This window comes from Homo sapiens, chromosome X, assembly GCF_000001405.40.
Source record: "Homo sapiens chromosome X, GRCh38.p14 Primary Assembly".
Taxonomy (NCBI): domain Eukaryota; kingdom Metazoa; phylum Chordata; class Mammalia; order Primates; family Hominidae; genus Homo; species Homo sapiens.
This window is the reverse complement of record NC_000023.11, coordinates 41,722,103-41,739,795: the sequence shown is the minus strand read 5'-3', so window position 1 is coordinate 41,739,795 and position 17,693 is coordinate 41,722,103. Positions and strand designations below refer to the sequence as shown.

The following is a 17,693-nucleotide window of genomic DNA, read 5'->3' as shown; positions in this document are numbered from 1 at the left end:
TTAAGTAGAATTACCTGAGTATTGGGGAAAAAAATTGTCATGTTTTAAGCTTGAATTTTTAGTTTGCAAAGCAAATTTACTTATGAACTATGTGTAATTCTTTTGACTTAGATAGCTTAGAAAATATAGAGCATACTATTTCTTCATGAAGCCCATAAACTTTTGAGTCTGCCAACATTTTCATTATTAAGCCTCACTTTACACCAATCCTGTCTGCTCAAATCAAATGTGTCCATGGACAGCTAATATGAGAGTGGGAGTTATAAACTAGGAGCACTGTATATTAAGTTTTAAAATAAAAATTGTTTACAGTTTTTAGATTTCTTTTGTTTTTTACAGCCATTATATGAGACAGATACTGGAAGCTCTACGCTACTGCCATGATAATAACATAATTCACAGGGATGTGAAGGTAAGTCATTTGTTATCACTAACTTTAATGTTTGTGAAGAAATACTGATATAACAATGATAATCAAGAATTCTTCTTTAATATTGTCATAAAGAACATCTTAATTTTACTTCTAAGTAAAAATGTATTTAACTGCTTTGTATTTGGGAAGTCATTGTACTAATTCTTACTAGGAACACTATAATTTCAATTTATTTATTTTTACTGAAGTGTTCATGCAATCTAAAATTGTATTATTTCTCTTTTGCCATTGTGTGTGAGAGAGAAATGAAAAATCCAATAAATAGGAAAAACCAAACAATATCCTATACTGAGTTAATTGGGGGGGAAATTAGAATTTGGTTTATATAGTAAAAGTTAATCATAACATATTTTCATAATATTGCAATGCAGAATAGTCAGCATTGTATTTTTTTGCAGATAGTTTTTAAATATAGTATGAAATCATAATTATACATGTAATACGATTTTATGCTTGGAATACCGGTATTATCATTATTCAGTCTTTCTGCCTATTTCATCCCAGTATCGGGTTAATGAGAACTCTCAGTTCCTGGTTCTTTAACGGTGTCAAGCCAAACATAGAGGGAGGCAAGAAATGAGACCAGTAGGCCTTCCTCCTGATCCCTAGCTTCTCCCAAGGCCCAGAATCACTAGGGAGCCCCTGAGGTCCCTTTGACCCTGGGCTACACTTTTAAGCTCTGATATTTTGTCACTGGCCTTTCTCTAACCTCCAGCATGCACATACATAGTGTTCCTTCCCTCAAGATATATTATTAAAGGCCTGGCTTCTTCGATGTATTTAATACTTTAAATGATTAAGAAAATTAAGTAGAGTTTAATTAAAGTGTCTATAATGTTTGGGAAATTTTCACAGAAATCCTTGTAGTTAAAAGCTGAGGGAAAACATGAGCAATTCCAAAACCATCTAGTAAAATATTTTAATAGCAAATGAAAATCACTGGAGAAATATACAAAATACACATTAGTGTAAATTAGTTGTAAAATATCTCACTCATCCTTTTCAGATGTGTTAAGAAAATGATATTGTTATTATCAGAACTCAACACCGAGCATCTCAATGGGTCCCCCTTTATGAAAAAGTATTCTGGCCAAGCCCGGTGGCTCATGCCTATAATCCCAGCACTTTGGGAGGCCAAGGCGGGTGGATCACCTGAGGTCAGGAGTTCAAGACCAGCCTGGCCAACATGGTGAAACCCCATCTCTACTAAAAATACAAAAATTAGCTGGGCATGGTGGCACATGCCTGTAGTCCCAGCTACTTGGGAGGCTGAGGCAGGAGAATCGCTTGAACCCAGGAGGCACAGGTTGCAGTGAGCCGAGATTGTGCCACTGCACTCCAGCCTGGGCGACAGAGCGAGACTCCGTCTCAAAAAAGTATTCTTCAGTTATCCAAAAAGAAATAAAAGTGTGGAAAGGTAAAAGGCGGGAAATTGTCAACTGTAGTAGTTTGCTGTGCAGTTATTTTGCATTAATTAATGTAAGAAAGTTCATATGTAGAGAGTAAAATATATCTCTTTGTATATATTCTAAACTATATACAAGAAAAAAATGATAATTTAAAAACCTAAAATGTGTTCATGTAATAGCATTATGTTAAGAACTGTTTTGCTCAAGAGGCAATTTTATTTTGAATGAATTATTCTCGAAAGATAATTATATCAACATCATATAATAAACAATGATTGACAATATATTCTACTGTAATACTTTCAATAATGTAGTCAGCTTTTGATTAACTGGTATTTGATATGACAACCTAAACCTAATTAATATCCAAAAGTAGATAATTTGACCTCACCTTTTAATTTACCTTCTGATTTATTTATTTAACAAATATTTGAGTGCCTACTTTATACAGATTACTGTGCTTGGAGCCCTAAAAGTATTATGGTCTCAGTAGGGAGATAAGGCTCGGTATCTCTTATCTACTGTAGCAGATCAACACATGCCAAAACATAGTGACTTCAATCAATAACTGCTGCTTACTTGCTCACAATTCTGCAGTTTGGGCAGAGCTTGATAGGACTGCTCAATTCTGTTTCACAGGATGTTGGTGACGTAGCGTGGCTAGTTTCCACATAGGCTTCACTCATTTTTCTGACATCTCAACTGAAGTGACTAGAACAGCTGGGAGCTGGCTGGGCGCTCTTTGCGGTCTCTCATTCAAAACGTCTCTCTCTCTCCACGTGGCCCTATCTCCAGCAAGACAGTGTCTTAGGGCTCCAAAAGAGCAAAAATGGAAGGTGCTAGGCCTCCTGAAGCAAACTGACACTGTGTCACATCTTATGCATTTCATTAGTTGAAACATACTTCACAAAAAGGTCACAAGGCTAGTCTGAGTTCAAGGGGAAGAAACATAGATTCATATTTTGATTGATGGAGTGCCAGATATATACAAGGATGGGAGAACTTGTTCGTGGCCACCTTTAGAAAGACAAATAATTATTGTGCAAGGTAGAAGGTGATAAGTATCATTAAAAGATGAGGTCAGAGAAGTTTCCTGGGGGAGGTCACATTGGAGCTTGTTCTTGAATCATGGGGTAGTTATATGGAGACAAAAAGACATTTCAGGCAGAAGGAACAGTTTGTGCAAAGGCCCAAAAGTAGTCTTACGTTGGAGTATGTTAGATTAGTTTATTATTTCTAAAGTACATGCTAAATAGTTTAGAGGAAGCACGTAGAAACATGCCAAGGAATGAAAAAGAAGTAATTCTCAAACTGCAAATAAGTAAGAAGAAACCACCCCAAAAATTGCCATTGTTCAGTTGGGAGACACACTCAACACAGAGCACACGTTAATGTTGATATTCTTTTTTTGTTTGTTTTTTGTTTGTTTGTTTGTTTTGTTTTGTTTGTTTTTTGATACAGGGTCTCGCCCTGTCACCCAGGCTGGAGTGCAGTGGCGCAATCTCGGCTCACTGCAACCTCTGCCTCCTGGGCTCAAGCAATCCTCATGCCTCAGCCTCCAGAGTAGCTGGGACTATAGGCGTGCGCCACCACACCTGGCTAAATTTTTTTTGTAGTTTTTTGTAGAGACGAGGTTTCACCCTGTTGCCCAGGCTGCTCTTGAACTCCTGGGCTTAAGCAATCTTCTTACCTCAGCCTCCCAAAGTGCTGGGATTACAGGCGTGAGCCACCGCGCCCGGTGTTGATATTCTTTATATTTCAGAAGCCGAAATCCACACATTTTTACATGGGTGAATAGAATACTCACATTTAGTTAATTGAAAATTTTTAATGTTGGTGTATTTTTCTTAAGACATTCATCCAAAAGATATTTATTGAGTGCCTACTGTGTGGCAGGCACTGTCCTAGGAACCGGAGCTACGTCAGTGAAGAAAACAGACAAAAATCACTGCCCTCATGGAGCTGACATTCTAGTTCAGGGAGGCAATACTCAGTAAACAAATGAACTACATAGTAGGCTAGAATGTGAAAAGTATCACAGAAAAAACTAGAGTGGTCAGAAGGTTAGGGAGTGTCCAGAGAAGGGCTTGCTTTTGTAAATATGGTGGTCAAAGTAGGCCACATTGAGATGATGATATCTGAGCAAGGACTTGGAAGAGAGGAAGCGGGCTAATCTGACAGCTGAGGGAAGAGCACTTCAGTTAAAAGGAACAGCCAGTGCAAAGACCGAAAGACAGGAACACAAGTAGCCTGCTCGAGGAACAGCAAGGAGGCCGGTGTGGCTGAGGCAAAATGTGCAAAGAGGAGAGTAAAAAGGAGACAGGAGATGATCCTGCCTGGCTCAGACCAGAGTAGTAGCAGTGGAGGTAGTAAAAAAAAAAAAAAAATTAGTTAGATTCCTGATATATTTTGGAGATTATGCCAATAGGATTTCCTAATATATCTTTGGTAACGTAGGCAAAACTTAGTTTTATTCAAGACCCTGTTACAGGGGTATTCCAACATAGTGGTCATTGTAAAACTTCAAGAACAATACATTTCACATGCTAATAATGTAAATTTTCACTTGGTTTGATTTGTTAATATTTTTGCCAATAAAGCAACCTATGAGCTTTTCTTTCCATTCAGATATATATTCAGTGACTTATCTGTATGTAGATTTGGTTTGTATGTAGATTTTTGTTTCTGCAGTTAAAGTTTTTGTCTAAGTTTTCTTTCCTTATATTTAATAACGAAAACAGAAGAGCATTGCAATATTTTATTTCTCTAAGAAAAATTTATTTTATCATCTGTTTCATCTAGCCAAGAATATTCTCATTCTCTCTCTCTCTCTCATAATTCTTGGCATATGATCCAAAAGCATTACATTTCCCAAGGATCCTGTTATTATATTTATTAATACTTTTTTCTTTACTTTTTTACAAAAGGTATTTCCTTTTGTAATCATTGTAACTGAGTCTTAAAAGGATTATTTGGTTAGATTTGAATATATGGTACCATGTAATCTATTTTTGGGAACTGCTTGCTCTGAAGAAGCAGTTTCACATAAAACTGCATAAAAAGCAATCATATAATCCTTTGAAATTCGAGAGATGTGTGAACATAGTGCTGGGCCTCCCCACAGCCACACTTAGTGACATATCAGGCTATATTCTTTGCTGTGGGAGGCTGTCCTGGGAATTGTAGGATGCTGCTAAGCATCCTTCACCCACTAGATGCCAGTAGCATCTCCCCCTAGTTGTGACAACCAAAAATGTCTCCAAACATTGCTAAATGTCCCCTGGGGCACAAAAATTGTCCCTGGTTAAGGCCCACTGTCATAATAGACTGTTATAATTCTCAAGATTTGCCTCCCTACAGGTATTAATTAAGGCATGCATATAAATTTCTATTTTTTTCTGTCATCTTCTTCCCTTTAATTCTACTTTTTCTTGTGAAAGAATGTGAAAACTTTCATTATGTTTCTGGTATTTTTTTTTCTTCCTCTCACCCCTAAATTAAAAGTACTTTAGAAAGAAATAGCACAGTTGTCAAGGTAAATGCAACTCCTGGCTCTTTGCCTTCTTTCATGGGCTCTACTAAGCACTGAGAGTTTGTGGAATTTTCTCCTCTCTCCTAACTCTTGCAGGCAGCCTTAGATCATGAGGTTGTGGGGAGACTTAGTTTTAGACCTTTCTGTCACTCTGACCTACTCATGTATAATTCTAATAACTGAAGTTGAAGTGAAACAGTTTCTCTGAGAATGCAAATTGCTACCCACAATCACTTTCTATTCTGAATGGTGCCTGTGCCCAGAAGGTCTGGGTGCTGTTTTTAGTTCTTAGAACTGTGCAAACCCCAGTCACACACACACTCAGCCAGAGGCCAGAGTGTTTCTGAGTGTGCTTCCTTTAAATGGTTTTCCTTGCTAACCTGTGTGAACACGCCTGGCTGCTTTTTGGTTCCCTTCTGGTCTCAGTTCTCCTTTTACCTATTTAAGGCCAGACTTTATGATAAATTTGTGTTTATCATATAACACTGGTTGGCATGACATTGTGGATTTCTTAAAGCATTCCGTAGTCTCTTGTTCTCCGTTACTGATGTTTCTTTTACACCTGATACCACAACTCCCCAAAGTTTATCATGTTGTATAGAGAAATTTAAATTCTCATAAAACAAAAACGTATTTATTCTTTATTTATTTTATTTATTTATTTATTTTTTTTGAGACAGAGTCTCACTCTGTCGCCCAGGCTGGAGTGCAGTGGCGCCATCTCAGCTCACTGCAAGCTCAACCTCCCAGGTCCACGCCATTCTCCTGCCTCAGCCTCCCGAGTAGCTGGGACTACAGGTGCCCGCCACCATGCCCGGCTAATTTTTTTGTATTTTTAGTAGAGACGGGGTTTCACTGTGTTAGCCAGGATGGTTTCGATCTCCTGACCTCATGATCTGCCCGCCTCAGCCTCCCAAAGTGCTGGGATTACAGGCGTGAGCCACCGTGCCCAGCCACTATTCTTTATTATTATATTAACATTGGTTAATCTTCTGCATTTCTTTTATAAGATTTTTTAACATAATGTGCACGTTCAGTTTTAATGTGGCATTTTAATAATTGTACTTAGGAAGATCTCATGGATTACATGATTATTATAAATTTATCTTGTGTTTCTAACTGCTATACTTCTCTTTGCCCAGCCTACTCCTACAAAAAAAGAAATCAACTCCTTGGTTTTAAGTTTCTCAGCCTGAGCAACATAGTAAGACCCTATCTCTCTCTCTCCTTTTTTTTTTTTTTTTTTGAGATGGAATCTCGCTCTGTTGCCCAGGTTGGAGTGCAGTGGCACGGTCTCAGCTCACTGCAACCTCCACCTCCCACGTTCAAGCAATTCTCCTGCCTCAGCCTCCTGAGTAGCTGAGATTACAGGCGCCTGCCACTACGCTCAGCTAATTTTTTTTATATATATATTTTTTAGTAGAGACAGGGTTTCACCATGTTGGCCAGGCTGATCTCGAACTCCTGACCTTGTGAGCCACCACGCCTGGCCAGTAAGACCCTATCTCTATCAAAAAATAAAAATTAGCCAGGTGTGTTGGCACACACCTGTGGTCCTAGCTACTGGAGAGGCTGAGGCAGGAGGATTGCTTGAGCCCAGGAGGTTGAAGCTGTAATGAGCTGTGATTGTATCACTGCACTCCAGCGTGGGCAACAGAGTGAGACTCCATCTCAAAAAAAAAAAAAATTCTTTTGCTTATTAGAAGTGAATCCTTTTACTGTTCCTCTCCTTCTGAGCCAGGAGTAGCGTGTGTGATATAGCCAGAGGTTTTTCTGTCAGGTGCAACTATAGCTGTAGTAACTCTTCCCAGTGTTATCAATTCCATTTGAGTGTAGGGGCCATCAGAGGAAGGTTTGTGGCATTAGGCTGCTGGATTGAAATGCTTATGCTTAGCAGATTACCAGTGTTCCCTCTGTTCTCCCTTTGTGGTTTGCCGGCAGGATTTCCTTTCACCTTGTCTTCCCAGATTTGCCCGTAACTCCCACCCTGACAGAGCACAAGGCCAGTGATAGGCCTAGAGTCCTCAGCAAATTGAACAGAATGGGCCATCTTCCTCTTCTATCCAGGGAGTAGAAACTTACTTCCCTGTTAAGTTGTTTATCCTAAATTTTGTCTAGTCTTAATGGTTTGTGTTCCTGATTATAGTTTGAAAGCTGCCTTAATGAGAGTATGTGTATGCCTGTTTTCTACAGTTTAAGATAAAATCTTGTTGGCCTTTGAGTCAAAATTTGAGATTCCTGAAACCCCAAATTTGTGTTTGACTGTAACTCACACAGACACATTAAAAACACTGTTTTTTTGAAATCCAAACTTTAAAATAGGGTAAGTTTTGAAGGTGATTTTAAAACCAGGCACAGTGGCTTGCACCTATAATCTCAAAACTTTGGGAGGCTGAAGCGGGAGGATCGCTTGAGCCCAGGAGTTCAAGACCAGCCTGGGCAACATAGCAAGAGCACATCTCTACAAAAAAAAAAAAAAAAATACAAAAATTAGCCAGGCATGATGGCACACACCTGTAGTCCTAGCTACTCAGGAGGCTGAGGTGGTGAGATCACCTGAGCCCAAGAGTTTGAAGCTGCAGTGAGCTATGATCACCACTGTACTCCAGCCTGGACGACAGAGACAGACCCTGTCTCCAAAAACAGAAGTGATATTTTAAGTAAAATATTTACTATGCCATTAAATAGCCAGTTCTTCAATTACATAAAAAAATTCAACATGATTTAAAATCAACTGTTTAGGAAAGCATCTATGGTGTAAAGATATCCATGATGATAATGAGCTGAGTATATAGTTCATTCTTCAGTATAGGAAATTAAAATGTGAGTTTATCAGAATGAGTAACTTAAAGAGAAATTGCATATCTCTTTTCCTGCCTTTTTAAATGTAAGAATCTCTAGAAATATTTTTTGTTTAAAGTAGTGGTAGAGCTGTAAAGTGATTGTTTTTTAAATAATTATTTTTAGAAGTTGTATTTTTTGGGTTTTTTGTTTTTGTTTTTGAGACAGGGTCTCGCTTTGTCACCCAGGCAGGAATGCAGTGGTGCAATCATGGCTCACTTCAGCCTCAACCTCCTGGGCTCAACAGATCCTCCCACCTCAGCCTCCCAAGTAGCTAGGACTAGAGACATGTGCCACCATGTCCAGCTAATTTTTCTATTTTTTGTAGAGACGTGGTCTCACTATGTTGATCAGGCTGGTCTCAAACTCCTGGGCTCAAGTGATCCCCCCACTTCAGCCCCCTGAAGTGCTGGGATTACAGGCATGAGCCACTGTACCTGACTGGAAGTTGTATTTTTTTAAAACTCCTAAGTCCAGTGAGATTATTACATGCAGTATAGCTTATGTTAAACAAACATTACTGTCTTAGTCGGATGAGTTTTGGTCTCAAAACTCATGTAAGAATAAAACTACTTAGTCTGGGCACAATGGCTTGCCCCTGTAATCCCAACACTTTGGGAGGCCAAGATGGGCAGATTATTTGAGCTCAGGAATTCGAGACCAACCTGGGTAACATGGCGAAACCCCGTCTCTACAAAAAAATAACAAAAATTAGCCGGGCATGATGGTGGGCACCTGTGGTCCCAGCTATTCAGAAGGCTGAGGTAGGAGAATCACTTGACCCCGGGGGGGTGGAGGTTGCAGTGAGCCAGATCACGCCACTGCACTCCAGCTTGGGTGACAGAGTGAGACCCCATCTCATAAAAAGAATAAAACTACTTTTGTAACTGTGGAGAAATCTGTGCATCTCAGGAACTCTCCCTGATGGACTTTGAGTTACTCTATGATTTACATGTCTAGAAATCACTAGATTGGACACTTCCATTTACAGCTAGCATTCAGGGCGGTCACCTCAAGTTCCCAAATCTCCTTTGTCTCTGCACATTAATGAGCCAAAAATCCAATTACTACTATAAACGAATTGATACTCACTGTAAATATTTGAAGCCAGAATGTGTTCAGACTTTTCTCAGAACATTTTCATGTCTCAGTTAAGCATCAAAGTAGAAAAGGAAAAAAAAATTTACTGGGTTTTTGTGTGTGTGTGTGTGTGGTTTTTTGTTTGTTTGTTTTGCCCCCGGAATAACCTCTGGTGATTTTTGAACACATGGCTCTTGGGCAATGTACTGTGAATTGCTTTTACAGCTCTAACTCAGGAACAAAACATGCTATGAGATTAAAGCCTTGGAAGGATTACGTGAACTTACTTTAAACTTCATTTTGGACACTGAAGTAATTACTATGTGAAGAAAAAAAGGAGTCTTTAAGCAGTCTCTAACAAAGTGGCAAGTTACTATTAATGGTTGATTTTATTCAGCTGTTTTTGTTTGGTTATCTGAGAAGAGAATATCAGTACCATGGAAGTAGAAATAGACAAGAAGTTTATAGCTCCAAAGTGCTTATGATCTCTTTGGGCAGATAGTACACGCTTTTTTTTTTAATCATAATATATGTACTTATTACAGAATATAGTCACCATCATTTGTCTACTGACAAGATTACATGAAAGAAAAGAAATTAACATTAAGAAATGCTTATCTTTAAATGTTCACTTAAATATTAGAAAAAATTGGGGTGATTTACTTAACTATGCACATATACATACATACATACATATATATATATATATATATATATATTTTTTTTTTTTTTTTTTTTTTTTTTTTTTTTTGAGACAGAGTCTCACTCTGTCGCCCAGGCTGGAGTGCAATGGCATGATCTTGGCTCACTGCAACCTCCGCCTCCTGAGTTCAAGTGATTCTCCTGCCTCAGCCTCCCGAGTTCAAGTGATTCTTCTGCCTCAGCCTCCCAAGTAGCTGGGACTACAGGCACACACCACCACGCCCAGCTAATTTTTGTATTTTTAGTAGAGGTGGGTTTCGCCATGTTGGCCAGGCTAGTCTCGAACTCCTGACCTCAGGTGATCTGCCCACCTCGGCCTCCCAGAGTGCTGGGATTACAGGCATGAGCCACCGCACCCAGCCCACTTCAATATTTTCATCAGTAAATTAGTATACTTTAGAGTTGTGGTGATTAAAATAATATATGTAAAGCATATAAGTAGAATGCTTGGCAAACAGCAAGTGCTTACTAAGCGTTAGCTACTCATAATAGTAACAGCTGATTTAATAATAGGATCTGTAAATAAGATAGTATTTTCTGCTCTACAAATGAAGAAATTAACACGTACAGAGGATAAGTTAATTTGCCTAAGATTGTCCAGCTAAATAAAAAGTAGAGCCAGATTGAACCCAAGAAGTATAACTTCAGAGATCAATCTCTTAACTGCAATACTATTACACTCCCTTATTATTCATTCATTTATTTCACAAAAAATTAACTGCCAGGTACTGTTTGTCACTAATAACATTATTTATATTGAATACAGAAGAAAATATGCACAATGTGATGAAGATGGGCATATAATGACATAGCTTTTTACTTTGACAAAGCCTAATCCAAATATTTAAGCATTTTTATAAGTATCATCTGCTTTAAAAATATAGTCAATGAATATTGCTTCTCCCCAATAACATGAGCCAGATAATTTCAAATAAATAATATGTTTATAAAACCTTGGATTTTTTTCACTGTATTATTCATGCATTTAGGTAAGATGTGAATGAGGATATTTCTTATTTATTTTTTTACTTATTTTTATTTTTTTGTTTTGTTTTATGAGACAGAGTCTCGCTCTGCCTCCCAGGCTGTAGTGCAGTGGCACGATCTCCGCTCACTGCAACCTCCGTCCCGGGCTCAAGCGATTCTCCTGCCTCAGCCTCCCGAGTAGCTGGGATTACAGGCGCCCACCACCATGTCCAGCTGATTTTTGTATTTTTAGTAGAGACAGGGTTTCACCATGTTGCCCAGGCTGGTCTTGAACTCCTGACCTCAAAATGATCCACCCACCTCAGCCTCCCAAAGTGCTGGGATTACAGGCGTAAGCCACTGTGCCCAGCTACTTATTTTTAAAGATTTTAAAATTACCAATAAACACTAGCCATAGATTGACCCTTGTATTCTAACTACCAGAAAGCAGACAAGTCATAAACCATTTGCTTCTTTATCCTAGTCATGAAATAACGTGTTCTGAACAGAAGCACTGACAGTTGAGTTTAAACAGAAAACAGCCTGTTAGTTTCATATGAGTGGGATCCTTTCAATATGCTTAATTTTTGCTTCTGAAAGTTTCTGCCATCTCAACGTTCAGTATAACTGTTTTTTGAGTTTTATGAATATATGTTTATTTATTTTTAAAAACCAAAGAGATTTTCTTGGTGATTATTGTCAACCAAGCTGTGACATGTTAATGATGTAGTTTAGTGTCCCTAATAAAGTCACATGAATGCTTTTCTTAATATTGTGGGGTTTTCCATTCAAAAGTCAACCATATGATTGCATATGTGCTGAATTAGACTTTGTAAAGAGATTATATAGTGTCTTCTTGAATGTTTTATCTAATAAAAGAAATATAATGGGGTCTGTGCTACTTCTGGCCGAAGCAAGACAGGTGAGAATGTTTTTTGTTTCTATTAAATAATTCAATTGCTGACAGTTATCTCTTTGGTGTAGAACATAAAAAATGGGTTTAAAAATACTATAAGGAAGGAAGCAAACTATTAGTAGAATCTGGATGACCAAAAGATGTCTTTTCACAGAACTGTAAGTCAAATCTTTCTCCATAATGGACGTACAGGTTCTTATTTTTCTCAGATGGCTTACAAAAGAGTAGTATGATGTTAGTACTACTAAAAAGGAAAATCCAATAAATGTGGTTCCAATGAGACCTGCAATCTGAGAGATCATGGCTCCTAGTTCCATCTGCCGATTGTAGCATAGGCTCTCTTCTCCTTCTGTAGCCTCTATGACTGAGTAGTATACGGTAACTGGAATGATTATGCCCAGTACAACTCCCCATATGTAAATGCATAGTTTTCTAGCAAAGTTGGGCTGGCGAAATTTTTTCAGTAAATGGCCATAAAATATTTTCTCATAGCATGAAGTAGTCTCTTGCGAGGAATCCTTTTGCATTAAGGTAGCATAGCGGCTTATGGCAATCCAACTTAAAATTAAGAGACTGACAAACATACTTGCATGCATGGATAGAGTTCCCAGAAAATTGACCACTCTGCATTGAGCAGATTGATATTCCCATTGGAAACCTTTCAGGAAATAGATACTCATGAAAGGCATGGCACTGCACACAAGTAAGTTTGCAGTCACAAGGTGTGACAGGTAGATGTGCGTTGATGTTTTTTTACCTATTTTTGTTAAAAATATCCATTGAGAGAGAGTGTTTCCAAAAACACCAACAATACAAAGGAGGATGTAAATGATTGGTAAAGCCATGGAAGAGATCATAGATGGTTGAATACATGTTGTATTGTTGTTCATTTATGTCAGGTTTTCTTGAATTTTGTCACAGGAGCTAGAATAGAATTGCAGATATTTAATATTAAAATTATTTTTGGTACAGTATTTAAGCTGAATAGTTTTTAAAAAAGAAAAACATTGAATTAAATAAAATAGTAACAAAAATGTATTGGATGGAACGGGAAAGTATAGATGGCTTCTTACCTTTTCTAATCACGATTGTCCGGTTGAAATAAAGACAAAAAGTTACTTATTGTGATGGATAATGCCTTTGTCTGAAAAACAAAATTTGATGTGAATAGTTACATGCCTGGGATTTATAATTTTACTTAGAGAAATGTATAGTTCTTAGATTGTAAAACAATTTGTAAGTGATGATTGATTTTTCCTAGAAATATAATTTAAAAAATTTTAAGGCACATGTAACCAATTCATGTTGGCCAAAGTATTACAGAAGTATTTTGCGGCCACAATAATAGAGAGTTGACTGGTTTTTAATTACCACATTACTTATATATAGTTTTCAAAATGGTGTCTTTTTGTGGCTAGGCTAAAACACTCCTTTATAACCTAATACTATTAGAAGAGTCTCTTTTCATATTTCAGAAGTTAACTCAGTTCTACATGAACAAAAATTCAGGCAAGATCCTGAATTGAACAGAAGTATAGCAACCAAGGACAGACTCCAAAATCCCAGGGTCATTACCAAAGAATATTTAAAATGTCCTTTCAAATATTTAATGTTAAACTGTCATACTTCAATAAAAGTTTACACATGTATGTCAAAACTGTAGTTACAGCCAGATGTGGTGGCTCTGCACCTGTAGTCTCAGCACTTTGGGAGGCTAAGGTGGGAGGAATGCTTGAGACCAGGATTTCAAGAACACCCTGGACAACATAGCGAGACCCTGTCTCTATAAAAAATACAAAAACTAGACCGGGTATGTTGGCTCATGCCTGTTATCCCAGCACTTTGGGAGGCCAAGGCCAGCCTGGGCAACATGGTGAAACCATGTCTCTACAGAAAAATTAGCCAGGCATCCTGGCATGTGCCTGGAGTCCCAGCTACTTGGGAGGCTGAGGTTTGAGGATCAGTTGAGCCTAGGAGTTCAAGGCTGCAGTGAGCTATGATCATTCTACTGCACTCCAGGCTGGGTAACAGAAAGAGACCCTGTCTCAAAAACAAACAAAAAAAAACTGTAGCTGCTATGCTTGTTGGTTAGAGTGTCCTTGTGTGTAATTTGCTATCTGAGTTTTTCAGAGGATTTTTTTTAAAGGATATGATGTTTTAATCACAACATAAATGCTGGTTTTTACTTTTTTCTGTCTTATATTTAAATCTTTCTCGCTTCAAAGGGTACACATGAAGTGCTGAAGAATCATATACAAACTGCTTTTATTCTTATTTTTCTCCTTATTTCCTCACTTCTTTCAGGTGAGAATAACAAAAGTTACTGGATTCTGGTCAAATAAGAACCATGATCTCTATTCAGAATGTGCCATATTCTCTGTGTTCTTCACCATAGCCTTCTGAGCACCACATTCTCCACTCTTTCATGATCTAGAGCAAGGTTTCTCAATCTTCTTTTTAATCATGTTCTCTTTTGATAAACATAAAAACTGTACCATACACAACCCTTTGAAATTCTTATATCCCCCCAGCCCCTCAGGGCAATTTTACTCTCTACCCCCTTCAGAATTATGGTTTGATTTATTTTCTGCATCTTGGATTACAGAAATTGGGGTTTTTTTTCAAATATGATATTATAATTTTATAATAACTTTTTAAACCAATCCACACCCAAAGTCTTGAAAACTTGAGGACTGTGCAGTGTCTGTGGGTTTAAATAACAAGATTCTTAATTAATGTTTACCACTGTCTTTATAATTTTATTTCTTTGCTATTTTTATTTAGAAAACAGTCCATATGCTTCATTGTAAGTTTGTATCTGAATCTAGTGCAACCTGATGAATTATAATCTGGTTTCAGTTAGTGTAGACCCTGGTATAAATATATAAAACCTAATCTGTAACTTCACCAGTTCAAAAATCAGTCAGACAGTGAAATGAGCCAGTTTATTTAAGAAAAAATTATCTGCTCACAGTAGGTTTTGATTTTACATAAGGATTGGAGCTTCCTTTTATGATGCTGTTAAAGAAAAGCAGTAGCTCCTACCTTGTGCAGATAATGCATAGTATACTAAAAACTGCAAAGGTAATGGTGCTTCTGTATGAATATTAAATGCTTCCAAACAAAAGGGACATAGACTTCTGCAGAGGCTAGCTTTATCAGACAGAAGTTGAGTCTCTGTAGGACTCTCAGTGTAGCAGTCAACAACTAGGTCACCATCTTTACCTTCCCAAACTTGTATCTACTATGTACATCTCCTTCAAAAATAAACTTGGATCATAAAACTACTAGATAACTATTTTCCAGAATTTGGAAAGTACTATTAAGAAATCAAATAAAAATTACATGTTACAGATGCAAAACTGGTCTCCAGAAAATGTCTCTAAGTCTATATTCCCCTCAGGAGAATGTCTATCTCAAGTCACTCATGCATACATTTTGTCTCTGCTAATTTGACAAATGAAAAAAGTTCTACAACTCTTAACTTCAGTTACTAATGACTGTCTACATAGTTAATATGCTGACTGCCTTTCTTAATGATCAGCTTTCAAAATTTAAACCATTAGGTCCTGTTTATTTTTATAGAGTTTAATTTTTAAGCTAAAAATGAATAATAATCACTCTTACCTGTATGAGTAGTTTATGCCAACTAAGGTTATATTGTTCAGGGCAGTGATGCCAAATTTCAGACTTAAAATTCTCTGATCTTCACTCTTCCAATATCTTTAGTCAGTGTGAATAGATTCTTGCATGACACCAACTACAGTGGGAGGAAAAGGGGAAATTAAACAGAATATTGAAGAAATTCAATAGTTATGGTCAATGTGGCAACTGCCTCCTCAAAAAACCCTCATTTCTCTATTTCTGTAGTGGGAGGAAGTGGTGAACAATATACATATTATACTTCCTTATGATTATTTCATGAACTAGTTACACTCCAGTAACCTTTGTTTGCACGATTGACTGAAGTTAAGTTCACAGGTTTAATCCCCCATGGCCAGTTTTATATGACACAGTGATAGAAGGAGCCACTCTGTAGTAACCCAATACAAATATTGGTGCAAACTCGTTTGTAAAATTGTTTGTGGATGGCTTATTTGCAATCCATCTTTATCAAAAATAGAAACAAAACTCAAAGTTTTCTTATAACTTACTAGAATCAAATATTATAGAGCTAAAATAGAACTTCATGATCATCTGTGGACTGAGACCCTTTGTTTTAAAGTTGAAGAAGCTGAGGCCCAGAGGAACTCACTGTAAGCACAGACTGCACCCAGGGTTGGGTCCCAGTTTGGTTACTAATGAGTTAACCCACTCTGTTTCTAATTGCCCTGCACTATCTCCATTTGTCAACATAATACACTGTTTGGGGCATTTCATAATGGATTTGGCAAATCCTGGGAAGTGCCAAGTATGCCTCAGATCAAATGAATAGTTATAAAGAATTGTGAAACCATGACTAGTCTAAAACAATAAAAATTTTAAAAATAAAAAATAGAATTGTGAAACCAATTTTTTTGTTCAGGATTGTCGAATCAGTCTGTGACCTACTAACTAAATGAAAGCTAAGTGTGTACATCTGGGGAGGAAGACTTGCATCAAGCACTCCCTCTCATCCTTGAGTAGTTAAACCAGTGGGAGTCTGAAAAAGAGAACAGAAATCTAATTTCATCAAACCTGAGCATTTTAGTTATCAGTAAATCTTCACTTAAAATTTACAGAAGTACCTTGCCATTTCTCATAAACCCGCAATGCTTACCTTATTTCATGTTTATTTCATAAATTCTCTATGATGTTTGCTAATATTTCTCTCCAAAACAAAAGTGAGAACTGCCTAAAGTGTCCAGATTGTGTTCTGCTGCTGTTCATCTTTGCCTTGCCACCATTTACTTAAGAACAGTGACTCATCCAGGGTTACATGGCCGTTCATTACAGAGTAGTTTGGCTTTTAGAATTCCCATCACTTTTACTTCAGTAATGTATCATGTTCCAGGAAGGAATTACATAGAACAAAAAACAGTTTTAATTAATTTAGAGAAGAACAGAAATGGAATGCTATTTCTAAGTGATTGAAAGATAGTTGTAATATTATCTGTTCAGGCATAAGCGTCTTTGGTCCGAAAAAAGAACGCTCTTGTTTTCCTCCATTGTCTCCAAACTCAGTAAATGATACCATCACTCCTTCAGTTATTCAAGCCAAAAACTTACGAATCATCCTTAATTCCTCTTTCTTTCACATCTCACATCTAATCAATTGCTGGTACTACAGCTTCTACTATCACTACCATCATTCATTAGCCACATTTCATGAGAGCTTACTATGTGCCAGATATCTCGCTATGTGCCTTACATCCAAGTCTTATTTGGTTTTCACAACACCCTGTGAAATGTCTCATTTTAAAGGTGAGGAAAACTGAAACTCAGAAAGATCTCATAAGTTGCCCAAGGTCACACAGCCATCTGTCCTCACAGGATGGTGATTGGCTCACCTCAAAGCAACTAATTCAAGAACAAGTCCATAGCTGCAATGCCTTTTTGTGATCTAGCCTCTGAAGTCAACAGTGTCACTTCTGCAGTATTCTATTGGTCACACAGAGCCAGCCCTGCATCAGTGTGGGACGGGTAAATATCAGGAGGTGATGATCACTGGGAGCCATCTTGGAAACTGGCTATCACAGATGTCAATCAACCGTTGAAACAAAGGAAGAGTCAGAAGTACTGCTTAAAAACCGTTGTCAGTCCACTGGTTGTTTATTGGACAAGCATACCTGGATAGGTGTAAGTTTTGCCAGTTCTTACACTATTTTGGTTTTT

At 37.6% G+C, this 17,693-nt stretch overlaps 2 protein-coding genes across 14 annotated transcripts in view; one reads left to right on the top strand and one right to left on the bottom strand.

Annotated features, from left to right (window-relative positions):
- CASK (calcium/calmodulin dependent serine protein kinase) overlaps nt 1–17,693 on the top strand; it is a 408,621-nt gene that overhangs the window by 183,759 nt on the left and 207,169 nt on the right. For all 11 annotated transcript variants that reach the window (NM_001126055.3, NM_001410745.1, NM_001126054.3 and 8 more), the window contains exon 5: nt 340–412. In NM_001126055.3, coding sequence (NP_001119527.1) covers nt 340–412 — 73 coding nt within the window. The remainder of the gene's footprint in view (nt 1–339; nt 413–17,693) is intronic.
- On the bottom strand, nt 9,666–15,615 carry GPR82 (G protein-coupled receptor 82). Of its 3 annotated transcripts, NM_080817.5 has the most exons (3): nt 15,507–15,615; nt 12,953–13,023; nt 9,666–12,803 (listed from the first exon to the last, which is right to left on the bottom strand). In NM_080817.5, exon 3 carries the CDS (start codon nt 12,767–12,769, stop codon nt 11,759–11,761), a length of 1,011 nt encoding a protein of 336 aa, NP_543007.1. In that variant the 5' UTR covers nt 12,770–12,803; nt 12,953–13,023; nt 15,507–15,615; the 3' UTR covers nt 9,666–11,758. The 3 variants fall into 3 exon arrangements, with proteins under 3 accessions (NP_543007.1, XP_047297947.1, XP_047297948.1); XM_047441991.1 differs by having other exon boundaries at nt 9,666–13,023; XM_047441992.1 differs by lacking the exon at nt 15,507–15,615 and having other exon boundaries at nt 12,953–13,260.

Bases quoted from the DNA above. Each gene is read 5' to 3' on its own strand.
- GPR82 (XM_047441991.1), bottom strand. From the start codon at position 12,769: ATGAACAACAATACAACATGTATTCAACCATCTATGATCTCTTCCATG.